Genomic DNA, 26,841 nt, shown 5'->3' with positions numbered 1-26,841 from the left:
GAACAGCAGGTGGAAAGTGGGTAAGCGGCCACTAGAGGGAATTAAACAGCTTCGGACAGCGGACTCGGCAGCGCAGCAAGAAAGCTCCGGAATCCGGATTCGAGGCTTCCCGGGCTGCACCGGAGTCTCCAGCAGAGGGCGCGATTCCGCCCGCTGGCCTTAGGTCGTCAGAGCGCCGGCGCGGGAAGCGCTTCCGGGCAGGGGCGGGGCTTCCGGCGGCGCCTCAGGTCGCGGGGCGCCTAGGCCTGGGTTGTCCTTTGCATCTGCACGTGTTCGCAGTCGTTTCCGCGATGCTGCCTCTGCTGCGCTGCGTGCCCCGTGTGCTGGGCTCCTCCGTCGCCGGCCTCCGCGCTGCCGCGCCCGCCTCGCCTTTCCGGCAGCTCCTGCAGCCGGCACCCCGGCTGTGCACCCGGCCCTTCGGGCTGCTCAGCGTGCGCGCAGGTTCCGAGCGGCGGCCGGGCCTCCTGCGGCCTCGCGGACCCTGCGCCTGTGGCTGTGGCTGCGGCTCGCTGCACACCGACGGTGAGGTTTAGCGGGCCGGGGGTGTGGTTTGCGTTCAACAGAGGGAAAACGTAGACCAGGAATAGGGCCTGCAACCGACCTCTGAGGTCTGGGACATTTTTCCATTGATTGGCAACCAGCGGGCTAAACCCACGTATGATCATATTTCCCCCACCTCCCCTATCCAGCAGTTTCGTTTTCTTTTGGTAGGGGGTGAATAAAATTAAATACTAGGGTACCTTTTTCCTTAGTCTTATTCTATCGAAAGTGGACCTTTGGGAAGGCCCATGGTCGTGGTTGAAAATAGCATAGTTATATCGTTTGGCAAGTGGAAGAGGATTGGAAATTCTCCTGGTTTATAGCGGAAAGTGGTAATGCGTTCATTGTTGGAAATCACTTTTCCAGAATCAGGCTCAGCTTCCTACTACTATTATGGTATTTTTACCGATAAGGAAACAGGCTTCTAGAGTAACCGTAATAGCAGAGAGATTAGAAACAGTCCAGGTTTCTGGCTGCAATAACCTGGGTAATAGTTTTATGTTTTAGACTAACTGGCTTTCCTTTTTATGTATCTGGATTTCTTTTCTAGGAGACAAAGCTTTTGTTGATTTCCTGAGTGATGAAATTAAGGAGGAAAGAAAAATTCAGAAGCATAAAACCCTCCCTAAGATGTCTGGAGGTTGGGAGCTGGAACTGAATGGGACAGAAGCGAAATTAGTGCGGAAAGTTGCCGGGGAAAAGTAAGTACTGGTCTGGGGATCCCAGGGCAGCAACTCCCTTAACCTTGCAGGACCCATCCTGGGTCATCCCCAGAAGAGCCTTGAGTTCAGGTGTGGATACTTTGATAAATGGGTTTCAAGAGAGTGAAGGATTCATTTGGACAACTTCGTAAGCCCCAGGCAGTCCATTCACCGAACACAAATTTGCTGTGGGCTGGTTACTAAGGAGACAAAAATGTAGTGCAAAAAAGTACTGGCAGAATCAGTTTGATCTCTGATTTACAGCCCTGATAAAATAGGACACTGCTCTCTAATGTTTAGTATGGGTGAAAATGAAAAATATGTAACTTCTATGTAACAGGATGGGGTTACACTGTAGTAAGGGCTGCCATCAGAGGTGGGGAGTTTGTGACCTAAGTCAGCTCCCCCATCATCTCCTAAACTGTTAAAGTGTTTACACTTTTCTGCATTATAGTCATCCATAATCTCATTACACAGATAAACATTTGGCATCTTCCAGGTTTTTAAATTGAGCCTGGGCGCGGTGGCTCACACCCATAATCCCAGCACTTTGGGACGGGCAGATCATGAGGTCAGGAGAAAATCCTGGCTAACACTAAAACCCTGGCTCTAGTAAAAATTAACCGGGTATGGTGGCACGTGCCTGTAGTCCCAGCTACTCGGGAGGCTGAGGCAGGGGAATCGCTTGAACCTGGGAGGTGGAGGTTGCAGTGAGTCGAGATCGCGCCACCGCGCTCCAGCCTGGGCAACAGAGCAAGACGCCATCTCAATAATAAATAAATAAATTGAATTTCCTTCATAATTGACCTTATGATGTGTATGTAATTTTTTTAAATCACAGCTTTTATGAGATTTAATTGAGATGGCATACGATTTACCCATTTATTGAAGTTTATTAAATTAAGTGGTTCTTAGTCCTCGCAGAATTATGCATCAGTTATCACTACCTAATTCTAGAACACTGTTGTCATCCCCAAACAATACCTATTAGCAGTCACTCATTATTCCTCCCTGTAGCCACCCCAGGTAATCACTAAGCTACTTTCTCTATGGGATTGCCTCTTTTGGACATTTCATATAAATGGAGTCATACAATTTGTAGCTTCCCCCCCCAACCCCACGGAGTCTTGCTCTGTCACCCAGGATGGAGTGCAGTGGTGCGATCTTGGCTCACTGCAACCTCTGCCTCCCAGGTTCTGACAATTCTCCTGCCTCAGCCTCCTTAGCTGGGATTACAGGCGTGCGTCCGGTTAATTTTTGTATTTTTAGTAGAGACAGGGTTTCACCGTGTTGGCCAGGCTGGTCTCAAAGTCCTGACCTCGTGATCCGCCCGCCTTGGCCTCCCAAAGTGCTGGGATTTCAGGTGTGAGCCACCCTGCCCACCCTATTTACCTTTTTAATTGTTGGGTTGTAAAAGTTAAGTTTTTCTGGGTACAACTATCTTATCAAATTAATGATTTGTAAGTACTGTTTCCCATCTTGTGGGTTTCCTTTTCACTTTCTTGGTAATGTCCTCTGACACAAAAGTTTTTAATTTTGAGGAAGTTCAGTTTACCTATTTTTTTGGTCGCTTGTGCTTTTTTATTTATTTTTTACTTTGCTTCTAATTCACCAAGTGCAACTTGTGCTTTTTTAGTGTCACGTCTAAGAAACCACTGCCTAACCCAAGGTTGTGAAGATGTATGCCTTAATTTTTTCAAAGTTTTCTAGTTTTAGCTCTTAGTTTAGGTCTGTGATTCATTTTGAATATGGTGTGAAGTAGGGTCCTGATTCTCTTGCCTGTTGCATAGTGTGTTTTTGCCCTACACAGGTCAATTGTGTCTTCTGTAATCTCACCTAAACACCATTTGCGCAAGGTTTTCATAGCTATTTGGGGGCCATTAAAAATAATGCTCTGATGAACGTCATTCAATTTCTGTGCCCAGGAGCTCAGCTTAGTCAGCACAGTTGGAATTAGACAGATTTTGTCAACCTCAGACTGCCTCTGTTGCCATGGAAAGGTGGCTTCCTGGCAGAGCAGCTAGTTAGCACAAGTGGAGGGCGGCACTTCATGTACTCTTTTTTTTTTTTTTTTTTTTCTGACAGAGTCTTGCTGTGTCTCCAGGCTGGAGAGCAGTGGCGTGATCTCGGCTCACTGCAACCTCCACCTCCCAGGTTCAAGCAATTCTCCTGCCTCAGCCTCCTGAGTAGCTGGGATTACAGGCGCGTACCACCACGCCCAGCTAATTTTTTTTTTTTTTTTTTTTTTGTATTTTTTAGTAGAGATGGAGTTTCATCGTGTTGGCCAGGATGGTCTCGATCTCTTGACCTCGTGATCTGCCCACCTCGGCCTCCCAAAGTGCTGGGATTACAGGCGTGAGCCACTGCGCCCAGCCTTCATGTACTCTTGTGTGGAATGGTGCCTGCCAGAGTTGCATAGCCCAGCAGTTTTGGTTCTAAACCTTATGTCCCAAGAATTTTGACTCAAACTTTGGAACATGATTTGTCAGGTGTGGATTCTTGCACCTTAAAATTGTCACTAGTTGGTGTGTCTGGCCTGCTTTGTGATTATGAAACTTCCCACAAGTACTCTAAGGGATGAGTCTCTACTACAGCCCTTGTTCTTTGTGAGGCATTCCCTTCCCCGTTCCAGGGCTGCTCTCGGTGTTTAGCAGAGGCACCCTCCATCGCTTCTTCCTTTCCTTGCAGGGCAAATTTTCTGACGGGGAAAGTCTCTTAAAGGGGCTTCTGTTCCATCTCACCAGCCTCTCAGGTCCTTACTTTGACCAAGGGTTCCCTGGAAAGACCAGGGTGGGCAGTGTCAGCTGGCTGTGGCCATGAGATGCCCAGTCAGCACATGGCAGTGAGCCCTGGGGTACTGGCCCTGTTGGGAGTAACCCATGCATGACTTGTTTGGCTGAGATAAACTGAGGCCAGCTTTGGCTTCCAGCAGCTGGTACATGGTAGGCACACTTCAGACCTGCTGAGTCACTCAGGATTGGATGTAGGCACCCAGCCTAGTTTGAAGTTCTGCATATAATTCAGCCAGCTAGGACAGAGACATTGTTTCAATACGCCTTTTTAACTGTAGCAGATTTCCATGTTTATGTGTTAACCTGCTCGGTTAAAACCATGCCTTGTCTGTTTTGCCTTGTCTGTTTTCCCTTGCCGTTTTAGAATCACGGTCACTTTCAACATTAACAACAGCATCCCACCAACATTTGATGGTGAGGAGGAACCCTCGCAAGGGCAGAAGGTTGAAGAACAGGAGGTAAGCTAATACTATAATCAGCTTTTACCTCAGTTCTGACAGGCTGTGCCTGGGGCTTAGAGGAGGAGCGTTTTTCTTTGGTCTTTCAAAAAAAAAAAATTCCTCTAAGTCCAGTCGCATGGCTCACGCCTATAATCCCAGCACTTTGGGAGGCCGAGACGGGCAGATCACGAGGTCAAGAGATCGAGACCATCCTGGCCAACATGGTGAAACCCCGTCTCTACTAAAAATACAAAAATTAGCTGGGCATGGTGGCAGGTCCCTGTAATCCCAGCTACTCGGGAGGCTGAGGCAGGAGAATCGCTTGAACCCGGGAGGCAGAGGTTGCGGTGAGCCAAGATCACACCACTGCACTCCAGCCTGGCGACAGAGCAAGACTCTGTCTCAAAAAAAAAAAAAAAAAAAAAAGAGAGAGAGAATGGCAGGGGCATAAGAGACTTTAACTGGATCATGCCTACTCTTCAAACATTTCAGGAAGTGCTGTGCCCAGCCTAGTAACCAGCCAGTATGAGGGCCACAGAGTCCCTAGACATTCTGCCCAAGAGCCATCAGTACAGTGTTGGGTCATGACCTGGTGTGGACGGCGCAGCTCTCTGGTGTGCTGCTTTCCCAGCCACCCCAACTAGCATCTCCCTGACGTTGGACCCAGTCTGCTCCCAGAGCTCCGCATCAGAGGAAAAGCTGCTGCTGTTATTCAGCCATAAGGATGGCCAGGTTCCCCAGCCTTTGACCCTGGTCCCTTATGAAGACTCCTGGAACAGTCAAGCTGGAAAGAGATCTTGAAACTTTAGGAAAGCTTTGCAGTGTACGGGTGGAGGAAAAGGCTTGGAATGTTAAGGGACTGATATAAACTCAGTTAATTGGCACATAGCTGAGGCTGGTATCCACATTTCTTAACTGAAAACCCAGTGTGTTATTTAACCAAGCAGGGTGCCAACAGAAGTGAGATCAAGCTCTTCATTTGGGAATAGTATGGCATAAGACTATTCAAATGGCTACATAATATCCTAATAGTGGTGGCCATCAGACACTCTGAACAGAGATCCTTGATCCAGCCATCCATCTCCTTCCAGCAGCAGCATGTATTGACTTCTTGTTTCCCCAGCCTGAACTGACATCAACTCCCAATTTCGTGGTTGAAGTTATAAAGAATGATGATGGCAAGAAGGCCCTTGTGTTGGACTGTCATTATCCAGAGGATGAGGTATGCAGGATGGAGTGCTAGCCTCTTGGCACCCCTGGGGAACAGTGTGTCCCTTGGGAACTTCCTGTCCCTATTTTAGCAGAAATTTAAACACTTTTCTAGCTTAGACCAGCCCAGCAGGGGGAGAGAGGTGGGGAGTGAGGGAAGAGGGTTAAAACCTGATGAGTTTCATGCTGTCAGTGGCCCCCTTTCTTCCCCTGAGTCTAGCTTGTCCTGGAGAACCCTTCAGTTTCCCAATATTGTTTCTTCTCAGGTTGGACAAGAAGACGAGGCTGAGAGTGACATCTTCTCTATCAGGGAAGTTAGCTTTCAGTCCACTGGCGAGTCTGAATGGAAGGATACTAATTATACACTCAACACAGATTCCTTGGACTGGGTGAGTGCTTGATAAGGTGGGGGAACCTTTTGGGCCTTGGAAGGAAGGGTCCTAGTTCAAGGGGAGAAAAAAGCATTTTAATGTTCATTACAGATTTTTTTTTAACTAGTAAATATTGTTCTTTGCAGGCCTTATATGACCACCTAATGGATTTCCTTGCCGACCGAGGGGTGGACAACACTTTTGCAGATGAGCTGGTGGAGCTCAGCACAGCCCTGGAGCACCAGGAGTACATTACTTTTCTTGAAGACCTCAAGAGTTTTGTCAAGAGCCAGTAGAGCAGACAGATGCTGAAAGCCATAGTTTCATGGCAGGCTTTGGCCAGTGAACAAATCCTACTCTGAAGCTAGACATGTGCTTTGAAATGATTATCATCCTAATATCATGGGGGAAAAAATACCAAATTTAAATTATATGTTTTGTGTTCTCATTTATTATCATTTTTTTCTGTACAAATCTATTATTTCTAGATTTTTGTATAACATGATAGACATAAAATTGGTTTATCTCCTCCAAGGCAGTTTGTCTTTTTCTATTCCTCCCCCTTCAACCTGCGTCACAAAAGACCAAGAACAGATGTCGGAAAAGTTTTTTTTTCTTCAGTATTGTTTAAAAGTTTCAATACAAAATAAGTTATAAATAAAAGGCTTGTATGTACAAGGCTCCTCAGAGGGAATGAGTTGTCTTCAACCCCATAGAATGATGTGAGTCCAAGCTGGCTCTAGAGGATCACAGCCCAAGTATCACAGGCCTAGGTTTAAACAGGAAAATAATTAGCTTAAATTGTATTCTAGTCATGAAAGATATCTGATAAAAGTTGTAATCAATGAGAATTCTACACATTAGATGAGGTCTCCTGAGTCCAGTTTCAATTAGTTCAGTAGTGTAGTTTGTCATGATGACCGCCCCTCTTTGGCATTGCTGGACCTCTGTCCTGCAGCCTTCAAACAACTGCCCTGGGAACCATCAGCATCAATAGTCTTCAAGCTAAGATCAAATCCTGTAGATGAACTAATCAAACATCCTCACCATCAGGAAACCACTGACCAGAAAGATTGTATTCAAACTCTTGATAGCCTGGAGCTTTTAGAGCCCAGCAGGAAGATGAGACTCCAAATCTACACAAGATTGAAGCAGGTATGTATCATAGGGGAGGTGCAAACCATGCATGATCAGTACGGGCAGAAAACATGTAAAGACATGATCAGTAAGCACCTGAGTGTAAAACTGCCTCCCGACTCCTGGGTGGCTCAGCCTCTCCACTATGCTAAGGAATCCAGTCTGTCCTTAACCCATTTATGCCAGAGGTTGCAAATTTTTTTGTGTGAAAAATCAGACCTTGGCGATGACCTTGAGCAGTAGGGGATCAATAACTCCCACAGGCTTAGCGTTCCAATAATTAAACAGTAGGCATAAGTGGGTTACTCTTGTTTCTTACCACTTCCACAGGTAATATGTTTGGCTTTCTCTAAAAGACACTGTAACTCTGCTAATAGGCGGTTTGGCATATTCCATCCCAGGACCACCACTTGAGCACCGCCACATCCGAAACATTCCTCGTCTTGTGATAGAGTGCAATCTTCTGTAACCCACCCCTATCTTTCAACACATCCTCAGCCATCTGTCCTGAGCGTCCCTACGTCCTGACCTCACTGGATTCTAACACAATGGTCCTTGATTCCCCCTTAAGTGAAAACCAAAGGTCTAGTGGAACTAGAGCATTCCAAATGTCTACCTTTCCAAATGTTGAACTCAAGACCTACAGAATACAATTTTGTCTTTCCCCCTCCTCTTTTTTTTTTTTTTTTAAGGCACAATCTCGCTGTCACCCAGCCTGGAGCGCAATGGCGCCCTCTCAGCTCACTGCAACCTCTGCCTCCTGAGCTCAAGCCATCCTCCCACTTCAGCCTTCCGAGTAGCTGGGAGTACAGGTGCGAGCCACCACACCCAGCTAATTTCTGTATTTTTAGTAGAGACAGGGTTTCACCATGTTGCCCAGGCTGGTCTTGAATTCCTGGCCTCAAGTGATCCTCCCACCTCAGCCTTCCTAAATGCTGGGGTTACAGGTGTGAACCACAGTGCCTGGCTGTGTTTCTCATATTTGCTGTGACCCCCACCTCCCCTCACTTACCCAACAATGGTCTTCCTGCCCACCCCAGAGCCGGCACTGTCAACTATGATCTCCAAGACTGCTGCACAGCACTCACCTTCCAAACCTCACCTCCTACTTAGCTTCACTGCTGCTCTGAGCCACAGGGCACTGACGGTTAGGTGAGTGGATAACTGGGGTCCATAACAATTATATGCTGAGCTGAAGCTGTACACTTGGCAATTAGGCCATCTTCCACTTACCTTTTAATTCCCCTTCTCTTCCCCCGACCAGCATTTTGTCTTTCACACTCAAGGGGACTTTCATACTCAAGGAGCTGTAGACTCCAGCTCTGCTACCATTATAATCTGTGTGGATGACTCACTGTTCACCTTACTAAGAAGACAGAAGCCAAAGCCAGCTGACCTGTGCCTCAACTCTCCTCCCTCCACCTTAACTCATTTGTACAAACATCTTAAGCACCTCTTTATTAATATATGCCAAGCACTGGAAATAAAAATAAATATGGGCCTTGCCCTCAAGGACAAAGACATAAGCAGGTAACTACAACACTGTTACAGGTGACATGGCATGAGGTACGGTGAAAGCCCAAGGAGAGACTGGCCAGTTCCCCTCTGCCAGCCCTCATTAGGTTTATTGAGAATGGTAACACAGACTCCAAAGGAATGGACTTCCCAGGCTGGCCAATTCTTTTTTTGTTTGTTTTGCTTTTTTTGAGATGGAGTTTCACTCTTGTTGCCCAGGCTGGAGAGCAGTGGCGTAATCTCTGCTCACCGCAACCTCCGCTTCCTGGGTTCAAGTGATTCTCCTGCCTCAGCCTCGCGAGTAGCTGGGATTACAGGTGTGTGCCACCATGCCTGACTAATTTTTTTGTATTTTTAGTAGAGACAGGGTTTCATCATATTGGCCAGGCTGGTCTTGAACTCCTGACCTCAGATGATCCGACCGCCTCAGCCTCCCAAAGTGTGGGGATTACAGGCGTGAGCCACCGCACTCAGCCACCAATTCTGTTTTTGAGACAGAATCTCACCCTGTTGCCCAGGCTGGAATCCAGCAGCACGATCTCAGCTCACTGCAACCTCCGCCTCCCGGGTTCAAGCGATTCTCCTGCCCCAGCCTCCCGAGTAGCTGAGATTACAGGCACCCACCACCATGTCCAGCTAAGTTTTGTATTTTTAGTAAAGATGGGGTTTCACCATGTTGGCCAGGCTGGTCTTAAACTCCTGACCTCAGGTGATCTGCCCACCTCGGCCTCCCAAAGTGCTGGGATTACAGGCGTGAGCCACCGTGGCCAGCTGAGACTGGCCAATTCCTTGTGAGGAATCAGGCTGAATGAAGTACACGGCATATTGTAGTGCTTGGTAAATATTTGTGCAAATGATCCTTAAATGTAGTGGGAGGAGTCAAAGTCATTCAGACAGAACAGCCTAAACAACAGCACAGAGGCCTGAAAGCACTGCATATTTGAGCATCTGCTACCAGTGCTGGATAGCTGGAACAGAAGGGAACATATGCTTGTAGTCAACAGGAAGTAGTGAGGGGTTTTATTTAAACTTTCACCTGCTATGTCTCTTTCCATACAAGCTGATGGAAAATGGCATCCTTCCACCAAGGCCTGAGCCTGGAGCAGGAAACAGCAGGGGCACTGGAACCACAAAGACCTGGGGTCTAACACCAGCTCTATCGCTTATTAGTAGTAAAATTTTGGCCAGATTACATCACTTCTCTGAATCTGTTTCCTATTCCTAACAGGAACTATCCTCTCCCTCATGAACCTAATGCTCCAGCTAAGTAGAACAAGATGCTCTTTGTATATACTCCAGTTTCCTGCTTCTCTGCCTTGTTCTTCTATGTGGGGATCTTCCACTTAAGCTCTACCCCCACAACTCACCAGATCTCCATGTCTGTCCAGATCGATTCCATGCTTCAAGGCCAAGTTAAATGCCTCCTCCAGGAAGGTGTCACCATAAAGGAGATCACCCTCCTCTGAACTCCCATAAGCCCTCCTTGTACAGCTCTCCAGGGTACTGCCTGTTTATTCTGTTCTCTTATTACCAACCCAAGGCTTGAGCTCTGTGAGAGATGTGTATTTCTCAATGTTAATGAGTCCTCAATTCATTTTTTTTTTAATGAATGAGTAGAATACCTATGGAAGAAACTTGATAAAGGTGAAATGGCTGTTACCAGGCAATGCTGCTTATAATAAAAATGACCTCTGTAGGTTAACTGCATTTGGAATGACAGGGCCATGAAGGAATTCTAAATTCCCAGTAGAAAGCCATGGCTATGAACTTCCTGAAGTACAGTGTGCTCCTAATCCCAAGGCTCCCCCTGCCTGGGATCTAAAAGCAATAATAATACGTATCATATTGGTTTTATGTGTGTTTGTGTGATATATATACACATGTACATACATACATACACATATATGGAAAGGACATGGATTATAAGAGATATTGGTTCCTATAGCACGCTTCTAAGACAGGTGGTTCCCTTACCCACTTGTGTTCCTGGCCCTCACACCTCAGTTGTCACTCAGGTTAGCGAATAGCCCTTGGACCTCTGTAAAAACTCCACTGACAGACAAACCTAATGCTGCCCTGCTATGCTTCTGCCCTGTTTCCTTCCGCAAAAGTGGTGCCAGCATGGCCTATCTGGGTCTTATGACTATGAAATGACCAGCTGAATCCAAAACCACTACTACTGATCAAAGAAGAGCAGGTGTGGAGCCAGGCGTCCTAACTCCCAGACCAATCCTCTTGCCGTGATCCCATGCTGCCTCTTCCCTTCTTTCTGACTGGCCTTTGAGTCTAAATGACTTGTTACCTTCACTTTTCTATGCAGGTAAATTCCTCAGATAATAAACTGCATTAAACATTTACCTGTTTATAGGTCATTATTTCTATCAAGGTGGGAATAAAACCAACCACAGGTCCCTCTTACCACAGAGTGGGTCCCAGGAGACGCTTACCAGACAGCTCATGAGAAGACTGGACTTTTCTTCTGTTCCTCCAGTGACTGAAAATTCAGGTGTGTGGGGACAATGTGCACTGTGCTCATTTATACTACCCTCTAAACAGGCACGAAGCTTCTGCTCTGTCAACTCAGAAGACTACAAAATAAAAAAGTTCAACCTCCTCTCAGTGACTTGATAGCCAACAGATGGAAAATCCTCATTCCTCATGCCAACCAATATAACCGTGGCTCACTGTGATGGCTTGACTCCTTGGAGCCTTAAAGACACTCGGGCCCATGACTGTACCAAGATCTCTTAACCCATCTCCATTTAACTGCCTCTCCAGATTAACCAACGCCCTCTACTCCTGCTGTCAAACACACTGATGGCCACTCATGGCAGGAAGAACGCTCAGAGATTGTAGGCTACTTTCCAGCCTCCCTCTGCCTCTGCCCCCACCAGCTGAGTGCATCCTTACCAACAACTAGCAGTATATGCTCCCGGGTCTGCTTGGGTTACTTGAACTTCCTACTGTAACTCAGTAATGCTAATTACTTATTATGTAAATAATAAGTTTTATTTTTATAGTGATAAGTAGAATGTTTAGGAAACAAACAGATGAGCTGCTTAAAAAAAAAAGAAAGAAAGAAAAAGAGCTATAGAATTAGGTAAAAGATGGGGAGGAAAAATTCCTAAGTTGTATACTCAGTTTCTTGATCCACTTTATGGAATTAAAACCGGAAACTCTGGACTATGTATTATAGAAGTTGTTTATGTAAAAAAGGTGACTCAGCGAGGCACAGTGGCTCACGCTTGTAATCCCAACACTTTGGGAGGCCAAGGTGGGCAGATCACCTGAAGTCAGGAGTTCGAGACCAGCGTGACCAACATGGTGAAACCCCGTCTCTACTAAAAATACAAAAATTAGCCAGGCATGGTGGCACGTGCCTGTAATCCCAGCTACTCAAGAGGCTGAGGCAGGAGATTCGCTTGAACTCGGGAGGTGGAGGTTGCAGTGAGCAGAGATCACACCACTGCACTCCAGCCTGGGTGACAGAGTGAGACTCTGTCTCAAATAAAATAAAAAATAAAACAGGTGACTCAGCTCTCCAATCAGCAGGGCCCCACTCAAAGGCTGGCAAATAAATTTATGTGTTTGAAACTTACCATAAAACATTTTATTTTTATAATTTGCCTCTTTAACCAATCGCTCAATTAACTGGCAAACTTGCAGTCCCCATCATGCCAGATAAAAGGGCTTTTTCTGTATTTTAAGATTACTGAAGGCCGGGCGTGGTGGCTCACACCTGTAATCCCAGCACTTTGGAAGGCTGAAGTGGGTGGATCACGAAGTCAGGAGTTCGAGACCAGCCTGGCCAAGATGGTGAAAACCCATCTCTACTAAAAATAAAAAAAAAATTAGCCGGGCGTGGTGGCAGGCACCTGTAATCCCAGCTACTTGGGAGGCTGAGGCAGGAGAATGACTTGAACCCGCAAGGCAGAGGTTGCAGTGAGCCTAAATCACGCCACTGTACTCCAGCCTGGGCAACAGAGTGAGACTCCGTCTCAAAAAAAAAAAAAAAAAAATTACTGAAGCTTAAATTCTGAATTAGGTATGTCTTCATATATAGAAAATTTTTATGAAACGTCAGATACAGGCGTTACCAATCCCAAGCTGAGGTCTCCATAAAAACGTTAAGCGGTGATGGCTCTCCAGGGCCCTAAAGGCTCTGATGTGTACTGTTTGCCAATTTTCATGCCATAGATATTCTCACCATGGCTGATTTGAAGCTACCAATGTGACACCACTGAACATAAAACTGGGAAGAAATATGCACAATGGGCTCCAAGTCAGCACTGGAGGATCTTCAAGAAAGTAGATCCATGTGGGAAGAAGTATCATGAAATCTGTGTGTGGAACACTCACATGAGATGGGATGGACAGGCCACACTGACACACCACCACACCGCTTGTGATTCTCAGGTTGTACCTAGAAGCAGAATTAGGATCCCAGAGCATCATGGCCACCAGACCTGGATCTCCAAACCTTGAATTTCAGGCAACAAATCTGGGGGGAGATTCCACTCACCTTGGAGTGGGGAATGGGAACGAATAATGCTGAAAAGGTTTTAAAAACTCTTACTTTGTACATACAGGACAGATGAGTGGGTTTGCCTCCCACTCAGCCAGCATGATGCTGAGACACTTTTCATCAAACTGCAAGCTCTTCTCATACTCGCTGATGATGGACTGCTCTGCAAGGCAAAGGCAGTTGGAGGGCTTCACCATGCTTCAGCTGGCCCTGTATTTAATTCTAAACTTCACTGTCAAAGGCTTCCTTCACACGAGGGAAAGATTTGGGCAAGACCACAATACCAATGACTGGTTTTTATGCTCTCTCAGGCTGGCTTCATCTTGCTGGATTCCTCTCCCTCCTCTCTGTCCCCTTTTTGTGAGCACAAGAGGTGAAGTAGGCTAAGGGCCGAGGAGACAATTTTCACACACATCTCCAGAGGCCATAGGAGCACAGATACAGAATGTCAGGGTCCCACAGGCAACTAAATAAAGTTGACAAAGAGAACTGATTGCTGGCCGGGCACGGTGACTCACACCTGTAATCCCAACACTTTGGGAGGCTGAGGCAGGCAGATCACTCGAGGTCAGGAGTTCGAAACCAGCCTGGCCAACATGGTGAAACCCATCTCTACTAACAAACACAAAAAATTAGCCAGGCATGTGGCGCACGTCTATAATCCCAGCTACTCGGGAGGCTGAGGCAGAAGAATCACTTGAACCCAGGAGGCGGAGGTTGCAGTGATCCGAGATTGCGCCACTGCACTCCAGCCTGAGTGACAGAGCGAGACTCTGTGTCAAAAAAAAAAAAAAGAGAGAACTGATTTCTGATGCCAGGACGACCCTGCTGATTCCACATACTTGGAATCTGTGTTGTTCAGAATCTGTGTGCTCATTCATTCAGCAAACATACAACAGTACCTAGTATCTGCTAGTCACAGGGGCACAAAGATGAAAAAGACTGTCATTGTTGAGCTCACAGTCTAGACATTAGGGAAGGGGTCAAAAAACTACAGTCACGCTTATTTGTTTATGTAGTGTCTATAACTGCTTTTCCACTAGAACTGCAGAGCTGAGAAATTGTGCCAGAGACCACATGGTCTGTGAAGTCTAAAGTATTTGCTATCTGGCTCTTCACAAAAAGTCTGCCAACTTCTGCTTTAGAATGTTCCTTATGGCTGAGTACAGCACAACACAGTAAATCCTTGTCACTTCAGACTTATTAGTTAAGTATGCCCCAAAATAAAACATTTGGTCAGGCTTATGTTTCACCACTAAGATAGGTTTTGTAGGTGGGGGAAGGGAAAATCAATAAAAAAAGATGATAACTTAAGGAATTTACAGTCTAACCAGAGTCGACAGCAACAGTCATTAACAACTAACACTTGCATGGCACTTATGTGTCAAATGCTATTTTAAATTCCTTACATATATTAACTTCTTCACTATTATTATCCTTATTTCAAAGGTGAAGAAACTGAGGCACGGGGAAATTAAGTGCTTTGGTCGGTGCCACACAAATTAAAGTAGTAAAGCCAAGTGAATGTTAGAGGTATGACTCAAGAGCTTGTGCTCTTGCCTCACCATAATAATAGCTGTTGATTATTGAAAGCTCTCTATATGCCAGACAATGCACTAAGTCTTCTACACACGTTATTTAAGCCTTACAACAAATTTATAGGGTATTCTCTCCATTTTATAGGTCATAAAAATGAAGCCTAAGGCTGGGGGCCATGCCTCATGTCTGTAATCCCAACACTTTGGGAGGCTGAAGTAGGAGGATGGTTTGAGTCCAGCTGTTTGAGACCAGCCTAGGCAACATAGTGAGACCCTGCCTCTACAAAAAAATTTAAAAAATTAGGCTAGGCATTTTGGCTCATGCCTGTAATCTCAAAACTTTAGGAGGCTGAGGTGGGGGGATCACTTGAGACCAGGGAGGAGTTCGAGACCAGCCTGGGCAACACAGTGAGACCCTGTCTCTACAAAAAAATAAAAAAATTAGCTCGGTATGGTGGTGCACACTTGCGGTCCCAGCTACTCGGGAGGCTGAGATGAGAGGATTGGTTGAGCCTAGGAGGATGAAGCCACAGTGAGCCATGATTACATCACTGCACTCCAGCCTGGGCAACAGAGCAAGAACCTATCTCAAAAAAAAAAAAAATACATAAATAAAATAATTTTTTGTCTTGTTTTTATCATCTTTAGCTAAAAAAAAAAAATTAATAAAAAAAAATTAGCCAGGGGTGGTGGCACACGCCTATGATCCCAGCTATTCAGAAGGCTGAGGTGGGAAGATCGCTTAAGCCCAGGAGGTCAAGGCTGCAGTGGGCCGTGATCACGCCACTGCATTCCAGCCTGGGCAGAGACCCTGTCTCAAAAAAAACAAAAACAAAAACCAAACAAGGCCTAATCAAATCAGGGCTACATGGAATAAATGACTTAACTATATAAGGTACAAAATTATGCTCTCTACACCATGCTATGGACACCTCCCTCAAGGAGTGGATGCTCACAGGCCCTGGGGAGTTAATAGAGAATGTGGCACTTAAAATGAATAGGGCAAGGGATCAGACCATGCACTATCACTGTATCCTGTAAAATGGCAGGTTTACTTTTTTTTATTTTATTTTTTAAAGTGACAGGGTCTCCCTCTGTCAGCCAGGCTGGAGTGAGGTGGTAAAATTATAGCTCACTGTAACCTTAAACTCTTGGGTTCAAGTGATCCTCCTGCCTAAGCCTTCTGGCTGAGGGAGGCTACAAGTATTTGCTACCACACCCAGATAATTTTTTTTTTTTTTTTTTTACTTCTGTAGAGACAGGATCTTGTTATGTTGCCCATGCTGGTCTTGAACTGGCCTCAAGCAATACTCCTGCCTCAGCCTCTCAAAATGCTGGGATTACAGGCATAAGCCACCACCCTCAGTGAACTATTAACCCATTAATAGAGAGGCAGGATGGTAGAAGAAACATGGGAACTGGATTCATACAACTGATTTTGCTTCCCATCTCCTCCACTTACTAGCTGTATGACCTGCACGAGAACACCAACCACCTTCTGTTCTAATACTACTATCTTACAGGGCAGTCACATGGAGAAAACAGCATCATTAAATGAGAAGTTCTTAGCACAAGGTCTAGCACCCTGGAGACCCTTATTATTGAGAAGCTAGACAGCCAAGATGTCAGAGTACAAAAGGAGTCTTTTGGACACTTGACTGATGGAGGTAGACAAAGGGGACTTATAAACTAATCCTGATTGGAGGAAAGGTCACAGTATTCCAGTAGCTAAATACAGGTAAGGAAGGACTACCACTAGGGGTTACCTTGGTTGATCAGCTCCTGTTGAATTTCCTCCAGCACAGCCATGTCTATCAGCTCCTCCAGCTGGAAGAGAAAGGAGCGGCATCAGAAGTTTGAAGTATTAATCACCAACCAAGCCCCACAGTGATTCATACTTGGAGGCTGGCTTGAAGAACCCAGATTTATTGGACAAAATCAGTCCAGTCCTCCTGCAGAATATGCTGACAGTGGGGTAATGCTGTCATGCTGACAAGCCATCAACAAATGATCCAACTATCCAGTGACAAAATAATGGTACCCAATTTTGGAGAGACGATATAGGGTAGCAGTTAGGTACATATTCTTCCAAGGCTACGTAACCACATGAAAAGTTCCTAATCTCTGCAAATCTCAGTTTTGGCCTCTGTAAAGTGGGAATAAAATCTATCTAAGAGGGTTACTGTGAGTACTAGTTGTGGTGATATAAGGCAAACATTGGTGTACTGCAGGACACACAAAAGCCACTGAATAATGCATCATTATTACACAGGGTGTTGATGGTTTCAAACAGTTGCCCACATTTTCTTACACAGTCCTTACAATGCTGAAAACATTATCTTCTCATTTTATAAATGTGAAAACTAAACCTCAAAGAGGCAAACTGAAGTTAACAGTCAATAGCCAAACCAGGATTTGAATTCTGGAACTCCTGACTTCGAATCCAGTGTTCTTCCTGATACACTATAAATGGTTTTCCCTTCCACACATGGCTGCCAACGTTGGCTGAGATTAGAATCGGAAAGTTTCTGGAGACCTTTTTAGAAAGAGATTCCTGACGTGGGCAGATCACTAGAGGTCAGGCGTTCAAGACCAGCCTGGCCAACATGGTGAAACCCCATCCCTGCTAAAACAGAAACAAAATTAGCCGGGCATGGTGGCACACATCTGTAATCCCAGCTACTTGGGAGGCTGAGACAGGAGAATCGTTTGAACCCAGGAGGTGGAGGTTGCAGTGAGCCGAGATCTTGCCACTGCACTCCAGCCTGGGCGACAGAGCAAGACAGAAAAAAAAAAAGAGCGAGAGAGAGGGAGAGAAAGAGATTCCTAGCCTATGCCTACTGAATCATAATTTCCAAGGGTGGAGGCAAGAAATGAAATTTCTTTCTTTTTAGTTTCATAAATGATGATGTTGCAGTGATGAGCAGGTCTACGGTCTGGTATTTCAGACCATTTCATCTAGACAAGTCTAACATTAAGTGTAGAAAAGCCTGGGTTAAAGGCTGTTGAATTCTAAATGGGGTTAGGGGAATGGTGGGTTTAGAGGACTCAAGTAAACAAATAAAAGAGGACACGAGCCGTTCTTGGTGGTGCAGTCCCCCTCCCTGAAAACACATAGCCCAGCCTGACCTGAGCCAAGTCTTCTGGACAATTCTCCACTGACTGCAAAGCATTCCACTCTTCTTCCATCACCTCTTGAACTAGAAAGCTGTTCTGAGAATTCCCTGGCCCACTGCTTCCAGCCTGGCGGTACCTGTTTAGGAGCCTGTCCCGGCTGTTTCTCATTCTCTCCAGGCATCTCTGGGAAAAAAGAGCAAGATTGGGGGGGAAAAAAAAAGCATTTCTATTTTTAAAAAACACTCTTACATTAGTTGAGAAAACATTAAAGAAAGTTTATAGACACAAAATTTCAATGATAATACTAACTAGTGTTACTTTTGCATATTCCTCTGTAGAGATACATAAAATTACAATGCTTTGTACACGTATTTACAAAGAACCATATTTTTTATTCTAGCTTGCCAGTTTCCTTAATGGTTGTGTGCATAATATCTCAGCATCCAATGTCCTATTACAGAACATTTATATTCCTTCCAAATTCTTGCTACTCTAGATATGGCTGGGTAACGGCCTTCCTGCACAGCAGCGTTTCTGAACTCAGGGAGGTTTTGTCCCCCAAGGAACATTTGGCAATGCTTGGAGACATTTCTGGTTGTCACAATTCTAGTTATAGGACTATTAGCATCTAGTGGGTGGAGGCCCGAGACGTGGCTTAAACAACCCTCCACAACATATAAATATCTCCCTCAAAATGTCCATTGTCAAGGCTGAGAAACTCTGCTGTATCTGCTATCTTTCTTGCGTCGGGTTACTTTCTTGGACATTACTTACTAATAACCACACTGTGTTCAGAAGAGGCCAGAACTGAGGTGGAGCCCTCTTCTAAGCCTCATTTTACTACTCTCTAGAATAGAAATCATCTCTATCTCACAAGACGAACGTAGACAAAGTGCCTCTCTCGGTGGCCACCTCCGCAGCAACAGTAGGTAGTGTTATTGCAGAGGTGCAAACGGTGATGTCCTGACCACAATTTAAATTCAAAACAAAATCGAATCCAAAAACAAGGCTTTCTAGGACTTGACCGACCCGGGCTAATCCCACACTCTACAGTCAGCAGGCCTGGGTTTGACCAGACCAGGCGCGCTGCGGCACCTGCTCCACGGAGCAGGGCTAAGGCGAAGGCAGGGAAGACGGCGGTCACCGGGACGATCTAGGGTAGACCACTGCACAAACCCCATACCCACCTGCCGGAAAGCCTCTTTCCAAGGCGGCGAGCCCACCAGTTTGTACAGGGAGCGGCGCGGAGACCTCAACGACTCCGCCATCTCCTCTTCGCGGGAGACAAAGCCACAAGACCCGTTCCCTGGAGGCGCGCACAGACCCCTGGGAGGTGTACTTTCCGGGTGCAGACCGCGAATGGATCGCAGCGTATTCTGGGAAGTGTTGTTTTATCGACCGGCCCCACGTGGAGACAGATTTAGGCATCCAAGCGAAATGCGTGAGGCCAGCCCGACCTGCACTGAGGGAGGTAAGTCTTGAGGGAAAGTTCTGGATGCCTGGGTTTACCCAGATGGAGGTGTCCAATAGGCAATTAGATACACAAGTCTCAGGCTCTCCCCAGGTGCTAGATTTCCAGCAGCACCACCATTATGTTGACTTCTCGTCCCGCCCCCTTGGGCTTCAGAAATAATGGTGATTGGCTTTCCCTTGGTGACGCCCCTGCTTGGTGGGCTGGCCTCGCCTTCGCCCCCCGACCTGGCACGAGCCTCTCGAGCTTCCGGGCCGTCTGCTCGGTGATTGGCCGAAACAGTGAGTGGACGGCCGCGGATTGGCTGTGCTCAGCGGCGGGCTGAGCAACTGGAGTGAGGGGAGCAGTTGGGCCAAGATGGCGGCCGCCGAGGGACCGGTGGGCGACGGCGAGCTGTGGCAGACCTGGCTTCCTAACCACGTCGTGTTCTTGCGGCTCCGGGAGGGACTGAAAAACCAGAGTCCAACCGAAGCTGAGAAACCAGCTTCTTCGTCGTTGCCTTCGTCGCCGCCGCCGCAGTTGCTGACGAGAAACGTGGTCTTTGGCCTCGGCGGAGAGCTTTTCCTGTGGGACGGAGAAGACAGCTCCTTCTTAGTCGTTCGCCTTCGGGGCCCCAGCGGCGGCGGCGAAGAGCCCGCCCTGTCCCAGTACCAGGTAATGCCAGGCCGATCTTGGAAGTGACCCTCACCGGGATCGGAACCAGTCTTTTTTGTTCCTTGCTCCTCTTGGCTGTTTTTCATCTTGTGGCAGGCGTTCCAGCGGATTGACTCCGACGCTGCCATACGCGGTCGCGGGGACTCAGGCTCTCTCGATGCTTACGGCCTGGAGGCCTGGGAGGAAGGAAAGGGTCATTGAATATTCAATAAAAATACTAGTGACGGATGAGTGCTCTGGAGAAAAACAAAGCGGGCTAAAGGGGTTGAGAACGAGTGGGCGGAGTTGCTATTTTTAGTTTCGTCGAGAGAAACCTGTTTCCTGATGTGACGCTTATAATAGGTTAGATCGTAACTTTCTCTTGCGTTGTGCACAGCAAGTCAGGTTGCAGGTTTCAAAGCACCACGCTTCATGCTTGACATGGAGGAGGAAGTCTCTGTTAATTCTTACCCCCGTAACGCCCGCTTTAGAAAATAAAGCCATACCCAAAATGGGGATTTTTGTTTTTGATTAGCCGACAGCATGTGAAAATGGGTGTGATCCAGAAAGTATTACACACTTGCCGTGGTCAAATATTGGTTTATGGAAATGTTTATTTGTAATACACAGATTCTCTTAAAGATGAAAAAGAGCTTGGTACTCATTCTAAGGTATGACATCTGTTGTGTGCCCGGTCCAATTCTTGTTACCGAGAAGTGATTTAATTTTAATAAGACGCTAGCAATGCTTCTGCAGTTTTGAAAATAGGGCAGGAGTCTACAGTCTACTTATTTACCCAATTTCAGTTAAAAAGAATTATGAAGGCCGGGCGCGGTGGCTCACGCCTGCAGTCCCAACACTGGGAGGCAGAGGCAGGTGGATCACCTGAAGTCAGGAATTCGAGACCAGCCTGGCCAACATGGTGAAACCCCGTCTCTACTAAAAATACAAAAATTAGCCAGGTGTAGTGGCGCGCCCTTGTAATCCCAGCTACTCAGGTGCCTGAGGCAGGAGAATCGCTTGAACCTGGGAGGAGGAGGTTGCAGTGAGCTGAGATCACGCCCCTGCACTACAGCCTGGGCAACAGAGCAAGACTGTGTCTCAAAAAATAATAATAATTACCAAATGTGCAGCACGCAGTATTCTAATAACATTCTATACTGCTGTGTAGCATTTGACATAATCATAACTTAATTATTTATAATTATTTTGTGTCTTTTTTTTTTTTTTGAGATGGAGTTTCGCTCTTGTTGCCCAGGCTGGAGTGCAATGGCGCCATCTCGGCTCACCGCAACCTCCACCTTCCAGTTTCAAGCGATTCTTCTGCCTCAGCCCCCCCCGCGAGTAGCTGGGATTACAGGTATCTGCCACCACGCCCGACTAATTTTTGTGTTTTTAGTAGAGACGGGGTTTCGCCATGTTGGCCAGGCTGGTCTTGAACTCCTGACCTCGTGATCTGCTGGCTTTGGCCTCCCAAAGTGTTGGGATTACAGGCGTGAGCCACTGCGCCCGGCTGTTTTTGTTTTGTTTTGTTTTGAGGCAGGATCTCGCTCTGTTGCCCAGGCTGGAGTGCAGTGGTGCAATCTCAGCTAACTGCAACCTCCACCTCATGGATTCAAGCGATTCTCCTGCCTCAGCCTCTTGAGTAGTTGGGATTACAGGCCCACTCCACCGTACCCGGCTACTTTTTGTATTTTTAGTGGAGACGGGGTTTCACCATGTTAACCAGGCTGATCTGGAACTCCTGGCCTCAGGTGATCCACCCGTCTTGGCCTCCCAAAGTGCTGGCATTTCAGCCGTGAGCCATGGCACTCTGCCTCTGTCTTCTTTTCTAGACTGTAAGCTCCAAGGCAGGGGCTGGGTCTGCCCTTGTCATTTTTTAAAAACGTATTTTATTTTTTATTTTTGAAATGGGGTCTTTCTCTGTTGCCCAGGCTGGAGTGCAGTGGTGTGATCACGGCTCATTGGAGCCTCTACTGTCAGGGGTCGAGTGATCCTCCCACCTCAGCGCCTGGAAGTAGCTGGGACTACAGGCATGTGCCACCACGCCTGGCTATTTACTTATTTTTGTATGTCCAGCATACAGAAATGCTGGAGTGCCCAGAATTTATAAGCTTTCAGTAAATATTGGTGACTATCTCAATAACCTTCACTCCTCCAAAATCTCAAAACCTTAGAGATGGGGAAGAAAGCAGCTTATCATGAGTTGTAACTTTGGATGTTAAAAGCAAGCATGAGTAAGCTGGGTGTGGTAGCTGTAGCCTATAATCAGCACTTTAGGAGGCCAAGGTGGAGGCAGGTGGATCTTGTGAGCACGGGAACAGGTGTTCAGACCAGCCTGGGCAACATGACGAAACCCCCATCTCTACAAAAAAAACCTTTTTAATTAGCTGGGAGTGATGGTGCACACCTGTAGTCCCAGCTCCTCTGGAAGCTGAGGTGGGGAGGACACTTGAACCCCCATAGTAAAGTCTGCAGTGGGCTGCCACTGCACTCCAGCCTGGGTGACAGCAAGACTCTGTCTCAAAAAAAAAAAAAAAAATTTGTGAGTTAATGGTACAAGTGTGAGTACTTATCCAGAGTTTTATTATCCTATAATTGTAGTAAACTAAGTATTACTGTGATTTCAAGTAACTGCCACCTATATTTAAATTAAAATTAACTATGTTGACTGGTTTGCTCTAATTTTCAGAGATTGCTTTGCATAAATCCACCCCTGTTTGAAATCTATCAAGTCTTGTTAAGCCCAACACAACATCATGTAGCACTTATAGGAATAAAAGGACTTATGGTATTAGAATTACCTAAAAGATGGGGGAAGAATTCTGAATTTGAAGGTGGAAAATCAACAGTGAATTGTAGGTAAGTTGTATACTATTTATCTGTATAATTTATTATATATACAGAAAATTGTTCAAGACTAGTGGTTCTTAAGCATGTTTAGTATACTACTCTTAAAACATTAAAACACTCCTCGTGGTCTGCAGACTGGCTTCTGTGTTATCAATGTTCATAGTATATGTGTAATTGATTGTACTTTATTCTGCCTGAAGTACCACGTTGCTGTCTCATTTGAGGCTAGGCCATTCTTTCGATTAGGTAGAAGTAAGATTTTGTAAAACCAGTTATCTGTCAGCCAGAAGTTTGCCAGAAGTGTAAGTATTTTATGTGTGTGTGTGTGTGTGTATGTGTGTATATATATATATACTTTTTTTTTTTTTTTTTTTTTTGAGATGGAGTCTTGCTCTGTCACCCAGGCTGGAGTGCAGTGGCACAATCTCGGCTCACTGCAAGCTCCGCCTCCTGGATTCAAGCGATTCTTCTGCCTCAGCCTCCCGAGTAACTGGGATTACAGGCAAGCGCTACCATGCCCAGCTAATTTTTGTATTTTTAGTAGAGACGGGGTTTCACCATGTTGACCAAGCTGGTCTTGAACTCCTGACCTCAAGTGATCCACCCACCTTAGCCTCCCAAAGTGCCGGGGTTATAGGTGTGAGCCACCGCACCTGGCCTATTTTTATATAATTTCTTTTTCAACAAATCCAGAAAAGTGAATCTGAAAGATCTACTGAAAAGAGTACAGATGCTTTTCAACTTACGATTGGGTTATGTCCCGATAAACCCAGTGTAAGTTGAAAATGGATTTATTGCTGACAACACAGCAGAGGATCCCCGATTTAGGATGGTTCAACGTAGGATTTTTCAACATTATGATGGGTAACCCCATCATAAGTCGTAAGGAGCTCCTCAGTTTATGTTGGCTTATGTACTGGTAAACCCATTGTAAAGTTGGGGATCATCTGTATAAGGTAGAAACTGCTTTTAGCTCCGCAACTTATAAGTTGAGTCCCCTTAAACTGTTTACCTTCTAAATCTGTTTCCTCATTTTAAAAATAGGATTGATAATATCTGCCCTTGTAATTTCCTTACAGGGTTAGTAAAAAGATCAAATGAGATACTATATCTGAAAACACTTGTACTGTATAAATATGTATCAATCCTAAGTCAAACCATCCTAAAATGTATATATACGTATGAAATATGCTATAATTTGGAGCCAGGCACGATGGCTCACACCTGTAATCCCAGCACTTTGGGAGGCCGAGGCAGGTGGATCACCTGAGCTCAGGAGCTTGAGACCACCCTGGGCAACATGGTGAAACCTCATTTCTACTAAAATACAAAAAATAAGTGGGGTGTGGTGGCACACGCCTGTAGTCCCAGCTACTCAGGAGGTTAAGGCACAAGTATTGATTAAATCCAGGAGGCGGAGGTTGCAGTGAGCAAAGATCACGCCACTGCACTCCAGCTTGGGCCACAGAGTGAGACTTCATCTCAAATAAATAAACAAATAAAATTTAAATAAATAATTTAAATTATTAAAATAAATAAATTATTTATTTATTTTGAGACAGAGTCTGGCTCTGTAGCCCAAGCTGGAGTGCAGTGGCGTGATCTCAGCTCACTGCAACCTCCTCAGCCCGGGCTGGAGTGCAGTGGCACAAGCTCAGCTCACTGCAGCCTCCACCTCCTGGGTTCCAGCGATTCTTCTGCCTCAGCCTCACGGGTAACGGGTTACAGGCATGTGCCACCACACTTGCCTAATTCTTGTATTTTTAGTGGAGACGGGGTTTTACCATGTTGGCCAGGCTGGTCTCAAACTCCTGACCTCAGGTGATCCACCTGCCTTGGCCTCCCAAAGTGCTAAGATAGGCGTGAGCCATTGCGCCCAGCCAGTGTGCTATAATTTAGAAGATATTTTTATTTCAATTCTTTGATATTGATTGAATAGATGCCTTGAATGTCCTCTCAGCATGATTTCAGGGAAATAAATCTGAAGGAAAGAGAATCAAAGAGTGTTAAAATAGAAATTTCTTCAGGGCCTGGCGTGGTGGCTCATGCCTGTAATCCCAGCACTTTGCGAGGCCGAGGTGGGCAGATCACCTGAGGTCGGGAGTTTGAGACCAGCCTGACCAACATGGAGAAACCCCCTCTCTACTGAAAATACAAAGTTCGCTGGGCGAGGTGGCAGGTGCCTGTAATCCCAGCTACTTGAAAGACTGAGGCAGGAGAATCACTTGAACCTGGGAGGCGGAGGTTGCAGTGAGCCGAGATTGTGCCGTTACACTCCAGCCTGGGCAACAAGAGAGAAACTCCATCTGCAAAAAAAAGAAGTTCCTTTAGAAGATTTTCATCCAAGTTGTACAAAATGTTTTGGAAAATTATTATCTTTATTTTAGTACCACTCCAGTTGCGGAGAGATTTTTCACCAGTTCCACCTCTCTGACTCTAAAGCATGCTGCATGGTATCCAAGTGAAATCCTGGATCCCCACGTAGTGCTGTTAACATCAGACAACGTAATCAGGTAAATTTTATTTCTCTCTCTTGAAGCCTTGCGAGTGGGAAAGCTCTGTTTCTGTTTGCCAATTAACAGCTCAACATAGAACGAAGTGAGTCATTGAATGAGTCAGTGCTTTTATTGGATGGCTGTTGTAACCCATTCTCAATCATAAGAATTGCCTAACTGCTCTAACTTACCACTATTCCTTCTCAACTAGTCTTCCTGCCTCCAGGTATCTCCTCTCCTAATCTGACACCTTAGAATAATCTTTCCAAAACTCTTTCATCATTGTCACCCTTTTGGTAATAATGTAGCATAAAGGAAAGAGAATGTAAGTGTAAATTTAGAGATTTGAATTATTGTCCCACCTCCTTTTCTGTTATCTTTGAGATCTTGAGCTTTTTAGGGGTTGGGGGGCTCAGTTTCCAATCTTTTAAATTGAGCAGGTTTGATTCAATAGTTTCTAACGCCCCTTCCAAGCTTTGCACTCTATGATTAAATGCCCTAATGCTACGTAGATTTCTACTCTATTATCAGCTAACTTTCTGGATCGGCCTTATGTAAAAAGTTATTGGGGGGACTCAGCAGAGGTACAGATACCTTCAGTTTTATTTTTCGTAATCACTGCTTTTAACTGTGCTCTACTAAATCTTCCTTCACTGCTGAATGACTCACCCCTTAATGATGTCTTATACAGATCCCCATAGCTTTCTCGTTACTTCTAGTTATGAAAACAGTGTGTCCAGTTTAAAACTCATCTTGGCTGGTTGCAGTGGCTCACACCTGTAATCCCAGCACTTTGGGAGGCCGAGGTGGGAGGATCATTTGAGCCCCTGAGTTCGAGACCAATGTGGGCAATACAGTGAGATCCTGTCTCTGCAAAAAAAATTAGCTGGGCATAATGGCATGTGCCGGTAGTCCCAGCTACTCAGGAGACTGAGGTAGGAAGATTGCAGCCTGGGTGACAGAGTAAAACCCTGTCTAAAGAAAATAAGAATGTCGAAAGCTATTTGATCTCAAATCTTTCACAACTATGTCCTGGCCCTTTTGTAGGTCAGACCTGTGTTTTGTGGGATCAGAAGTGATTGGAGAGTGTGCGGTCTGCTCTTTCACTCTTCCTGTTATCCCAGCACTTTGGAACATAGGGTGAAGTGTAAGGAATGGGCTGCCCCCTCCTTCCTCCAAATCTAACTCCTTCAGTGTGGGGTAGGGGAGTGGGACAGGTGAGGTAGAGATCTTACCGAACTGGTAGCCTGTGAGTGATGGGGAAGTATGCCTGATCTTGTTTGAATCTCGTTCCATCTGTCACTAGTGAACTCTGTTGATGTGGTAGTCTCTGCATAGATGGTGTGTTTGTGTGTGTGTATGTGGGGGGGTGGGGTGGTGTTGGAGGGCAGTGTTGAACTTCCAGCTCCCCCCATCACTGAGGAGCTCTGGCTCCCATTGGCTCCTGTCAGTTCTCTATGCCCTGAATCTTCTCTCAAGATGGGGTACAGTATACTTTATCTGC

General features: G+C 45.9%; 3 protein-coding genes across 16 annotated transcripts in view, besides 11 other annotated features; 2 read left to right on the top strand and 1 right to left on the bottom strand.

Moving 5' to 3' along the window:
• Positions 52-234: a silencer, noted in NCBI's record as "fragment chr17:5342450-5342632 (GRCh37/hg19 assembly coordinates)". NCBI's record gives its function as "represses an EF-1alpha promoter that drives an FKBP-Casp9 reporter gene in an ReSE screen in K562 erythroleukemia cells {active_cell/tissue: K562}" and the evidence as "EXISTENCE:reporter gene assay evidence [ECO:0000049][PMID:32094911]".
• C1QBP (complement C1q binding protein) lies at positions 209-6,587 on the top strand. Its single transcript, NM_001212.4, has 6 exons — positions 209-522; positions 1,091-1,241; positions 4,398-4,491; positions 5,597-5,695; positions 5,949-6,071; positions 6,200-6,587. Exons 1-6 carry the CDS (start codon positions 291-293, stop codon positions 6,347-6,349), a joined length of 849 nt encoding a protein of 282 aa, NP_001203.1. The 5' UTR covers positions 209-290; the 3' UTR covers positions 6,350-6,587.
• Positions 213-382: a silencer, noted in NCBI's record as "silent region_8070". NCBI's record gives its function as "represses an Ori minimal core promoter by ATAC-STARR-seq in GM12878 lymphoblastoid cells {active_cell/tissue: GM12878}" and the evidence as "EXISTENCE:reporter gene assay evidence [ECO:0000049][PMID:35858748]".
• Positions 493-542: a silencer, noted in NCBI's record as "silent region_8069". NCBI's record gives its function as "represses an Ori minimal core promoter by ATAC-STARR-seq in GM12878 lymphoblastoid cells {active_cell/tissue: GM12878}" and the evidence as "EXISTENCE:reporter gene assay evidence [ECO:0000049][PMID:35858748]".
• RPAIN (RPA interacting protein) lies at positions 6,487-19,182 on the bottom strand. Of its 12 annotated transcripts, NM_001033002.4 has the most exons (7): positions 19,073-19,182; positions 17,898-18,068; positions 16,535-16,595; positions 13,282-13,393; positions 13,065-13,128; positions 11,153-11,293; positions 6,487-6,822 (listed from the first exon to the last, which is right to left on the bottom strand). In NM_001033002.4, exons 1-7 carry the CDS (start codon positions 19,151-19,153, stop codon positions 6,793-6,795), a joined length of 660 nt encoding a protein of 219 aa, NP_001028174.2. In that variant the 5' UTR covers positions 19,154-19,182; the 3' UTR covers positions 6,487-6,792. The 12 variants fall into 12 exon arrangements, 7 of the variants coding, with proteins under 7 accessions (NP_001028174.2, NP_001153716.1, NP_001153738.1 ...); NR_027682.2 differs by lacking the exon at positions 13,065-13,128; NR_027683.2 differs by lacking the exon at positions 13,282-13,393.
• Positions 18,911-19,130: an enhancer, noted in NCBI's record as "active region_11572". NCBI's record gives its function as "activates an Ori minimal core promoter by ATAC-STARR-seq in GM12878 lymphoblastoid cells {active_cell/tissue: GM12878}" and the evidence as "EXISTENCE:reporter gene assay evidence [ECO:0000049][PMID:35858748]".
• Positions 18,911-19,527: a biological region, named in NCBI's record as "NANOG-H3K27ac-H3K4me1 hESC enhancer GRCh37_chr17:5323157-5323694".
• Positions 18,990-19,527: an enhancer, noted in NCBI's record as "NANOG-H3K27ac-H3K4me1 hESC enhancer chr17:5323157-5323694 (GRCh37/hg19 assembly coordinates)". NCBI's record gives its function as "activates a minimal SCP1, AML or CMV promoter by ChIP-STARR-seq in naive H9 embryonic stem cells {active_cell/tissue: H9 hESC(naive)}" and the evidence as "EXISTENCE:reporter gene assay evidence [ECO:0000049][PMID:30033119]".
• Positions 19,141-19,260: an enhancer, noted in NCBI's record as "active region_11571". NCBI's record gives its function as "activates an Ori minimal core promoter by ATAC-STARR-seq in GM12878 lymphoblastoid cells {active_cell/tissue: GM12878}" and the evidence as "EXISTENCE:reporter gene assay evidence [ECO:0000049][PMID:35858748]".
• Positions 19,528-20,065: an enhancer, noted in NCBI's record as "NANOG-H3K27ac hESC enhancer chr17:5322619-5323156 (GRCh37/hg19 assembly coordinates)". NCBI's record gives its function as "activates a minimal SCP1, AML or CMV promoter by ChIP-STARR-seq in naive H9 embryonic stem cells {active_cell/tissue: H9 hESC(naive)}" and the evidence as "EXISTENCE:reporter gene assay evidence [ECO:0000049][PMID:30033119]".
• Positions 19,528-20,340: a biological region, named in NCBI's record as "NANOG-H3K27ac hESC enhancer GRCh37_chr17:5322619-5323156".
• Positions 19,701-20,340: an enhancer, noted in NCBI's record as "active region_11570". NCBI's record gives its function as "activates an Ori minimal core promoter by ATAC-STARR-seq in GM12878 lymphoblastoid cells {active_cell/tissue: GM12878}" and the evidence as "EXISTENCE:reporter gene assay evidence [ECO:0000049][PMID:35858748]".
• NUP88 (nucleoporin 88) overlaps positions 19,702-26,841 on the top strand; it is a 34,830-nt gene continuing 27,690 nt past the window's right edge. For 2 of the 3 annotated variants that reach the window (NM_002532.6, NM_001320653.2), the window contains exons 1-3: positions 19,702-20,010; positions 22,682-22,851; positions 25,230-25,355. In NM_002532.6, coding sequence (NP_002523.2) covers positions 19,714-20,010; positions 22,682-22,851; positions 25,230-25,355 — 593 coding nt within the window. In that variant the 5' untranslated portion in view covers positions 19,702-19,713. Of the gene's footprint in view, positions 20,011-21,315; positions 21,350-22,681; positions 22,852-25,229; positions 25,356-26,841 lie in introns of those variants that run through there. The other variant, XM_047436155.1, reaches the window with a different exon arrangement.
• Positions 24,861-26,060: an enhancer, noted in NCBI's record as "CDK7 strongly-dependent group 2 enhancer chr17:5316624-5317823 (GRCh37/hg19 assembly coordinates)". NCBI's record gives its function as "activates an origin of replication core promoter dependent on BRD2, BRD4, P300/CBP, MED14 and CDK7 cofactors, with strong dependence on CDK7, by STARR-seq in HCT116 cells {active_cell/tissue: HCT116}" and the evidence as "EXISTENCE:reporter gene assay evidence [ECO:0000049][PMID:35650434]".

This window comes from Homo sapiens, chromosome 17, assembly GCF_000001405.40.
Source record: "Homo sapiens chromosome 17, GRCh38.p14 Primary Assembly".
NCBI classification, from domain to species: domain Eukaryota; kingdom Metazoa; phylum Chordata; class Mammalia; order Primates; family Hominidae; genus Homo; species Homo sapiens.
Note: the sequence above shows the minus strand (reverse complement) of the source record. Positions and strands in the feature narration are given on the sequence as shown.

Coding starts and splice junctions, on each gene's coding strand:
- C1QBP (NM_001212.4), top strand. CDS start 291: ATGCTGCCTCTGCTGCGCTGCGTGCCCCGTGTGCTGGGCTCCTCCGTC. Junction 523..1,090: donor CGGCTCGCTGCACACCGACG/GTGAGGTTTAGC, acceptor TTTCTTTTCTAG/GAGACAAAGCTTTTGTTGAT. Junction 6,072..6,199: donor ACACAGATTCCTTGGACTGG/GTGAGTGCTTGA, acceptor TGTTCTTTGCAG/GCCTTATATGACCACCTAAT.
- RPAIN (NM_001160243.2), bottom strand. CDS start 19,153: ATGGCGGAGTCGTTGAGGTCTCCGCGCCGCTCCCTGTACAAACTGGTG. Junction 13,394..16,534: donor ACAGGAGCTGATCAACCAAG/GTAACCCCTAGT, acceptor TTTGCCTTGCAG/AGCAGTCCATCATCAGCGAG. Junction 13,129..13,281: donor ATCTGTCCTGTATGTACAAA/GTAAGAGTTTTT, acceptor TTCTGCTTCTAG/GTACAACCTGAGAATCACAA.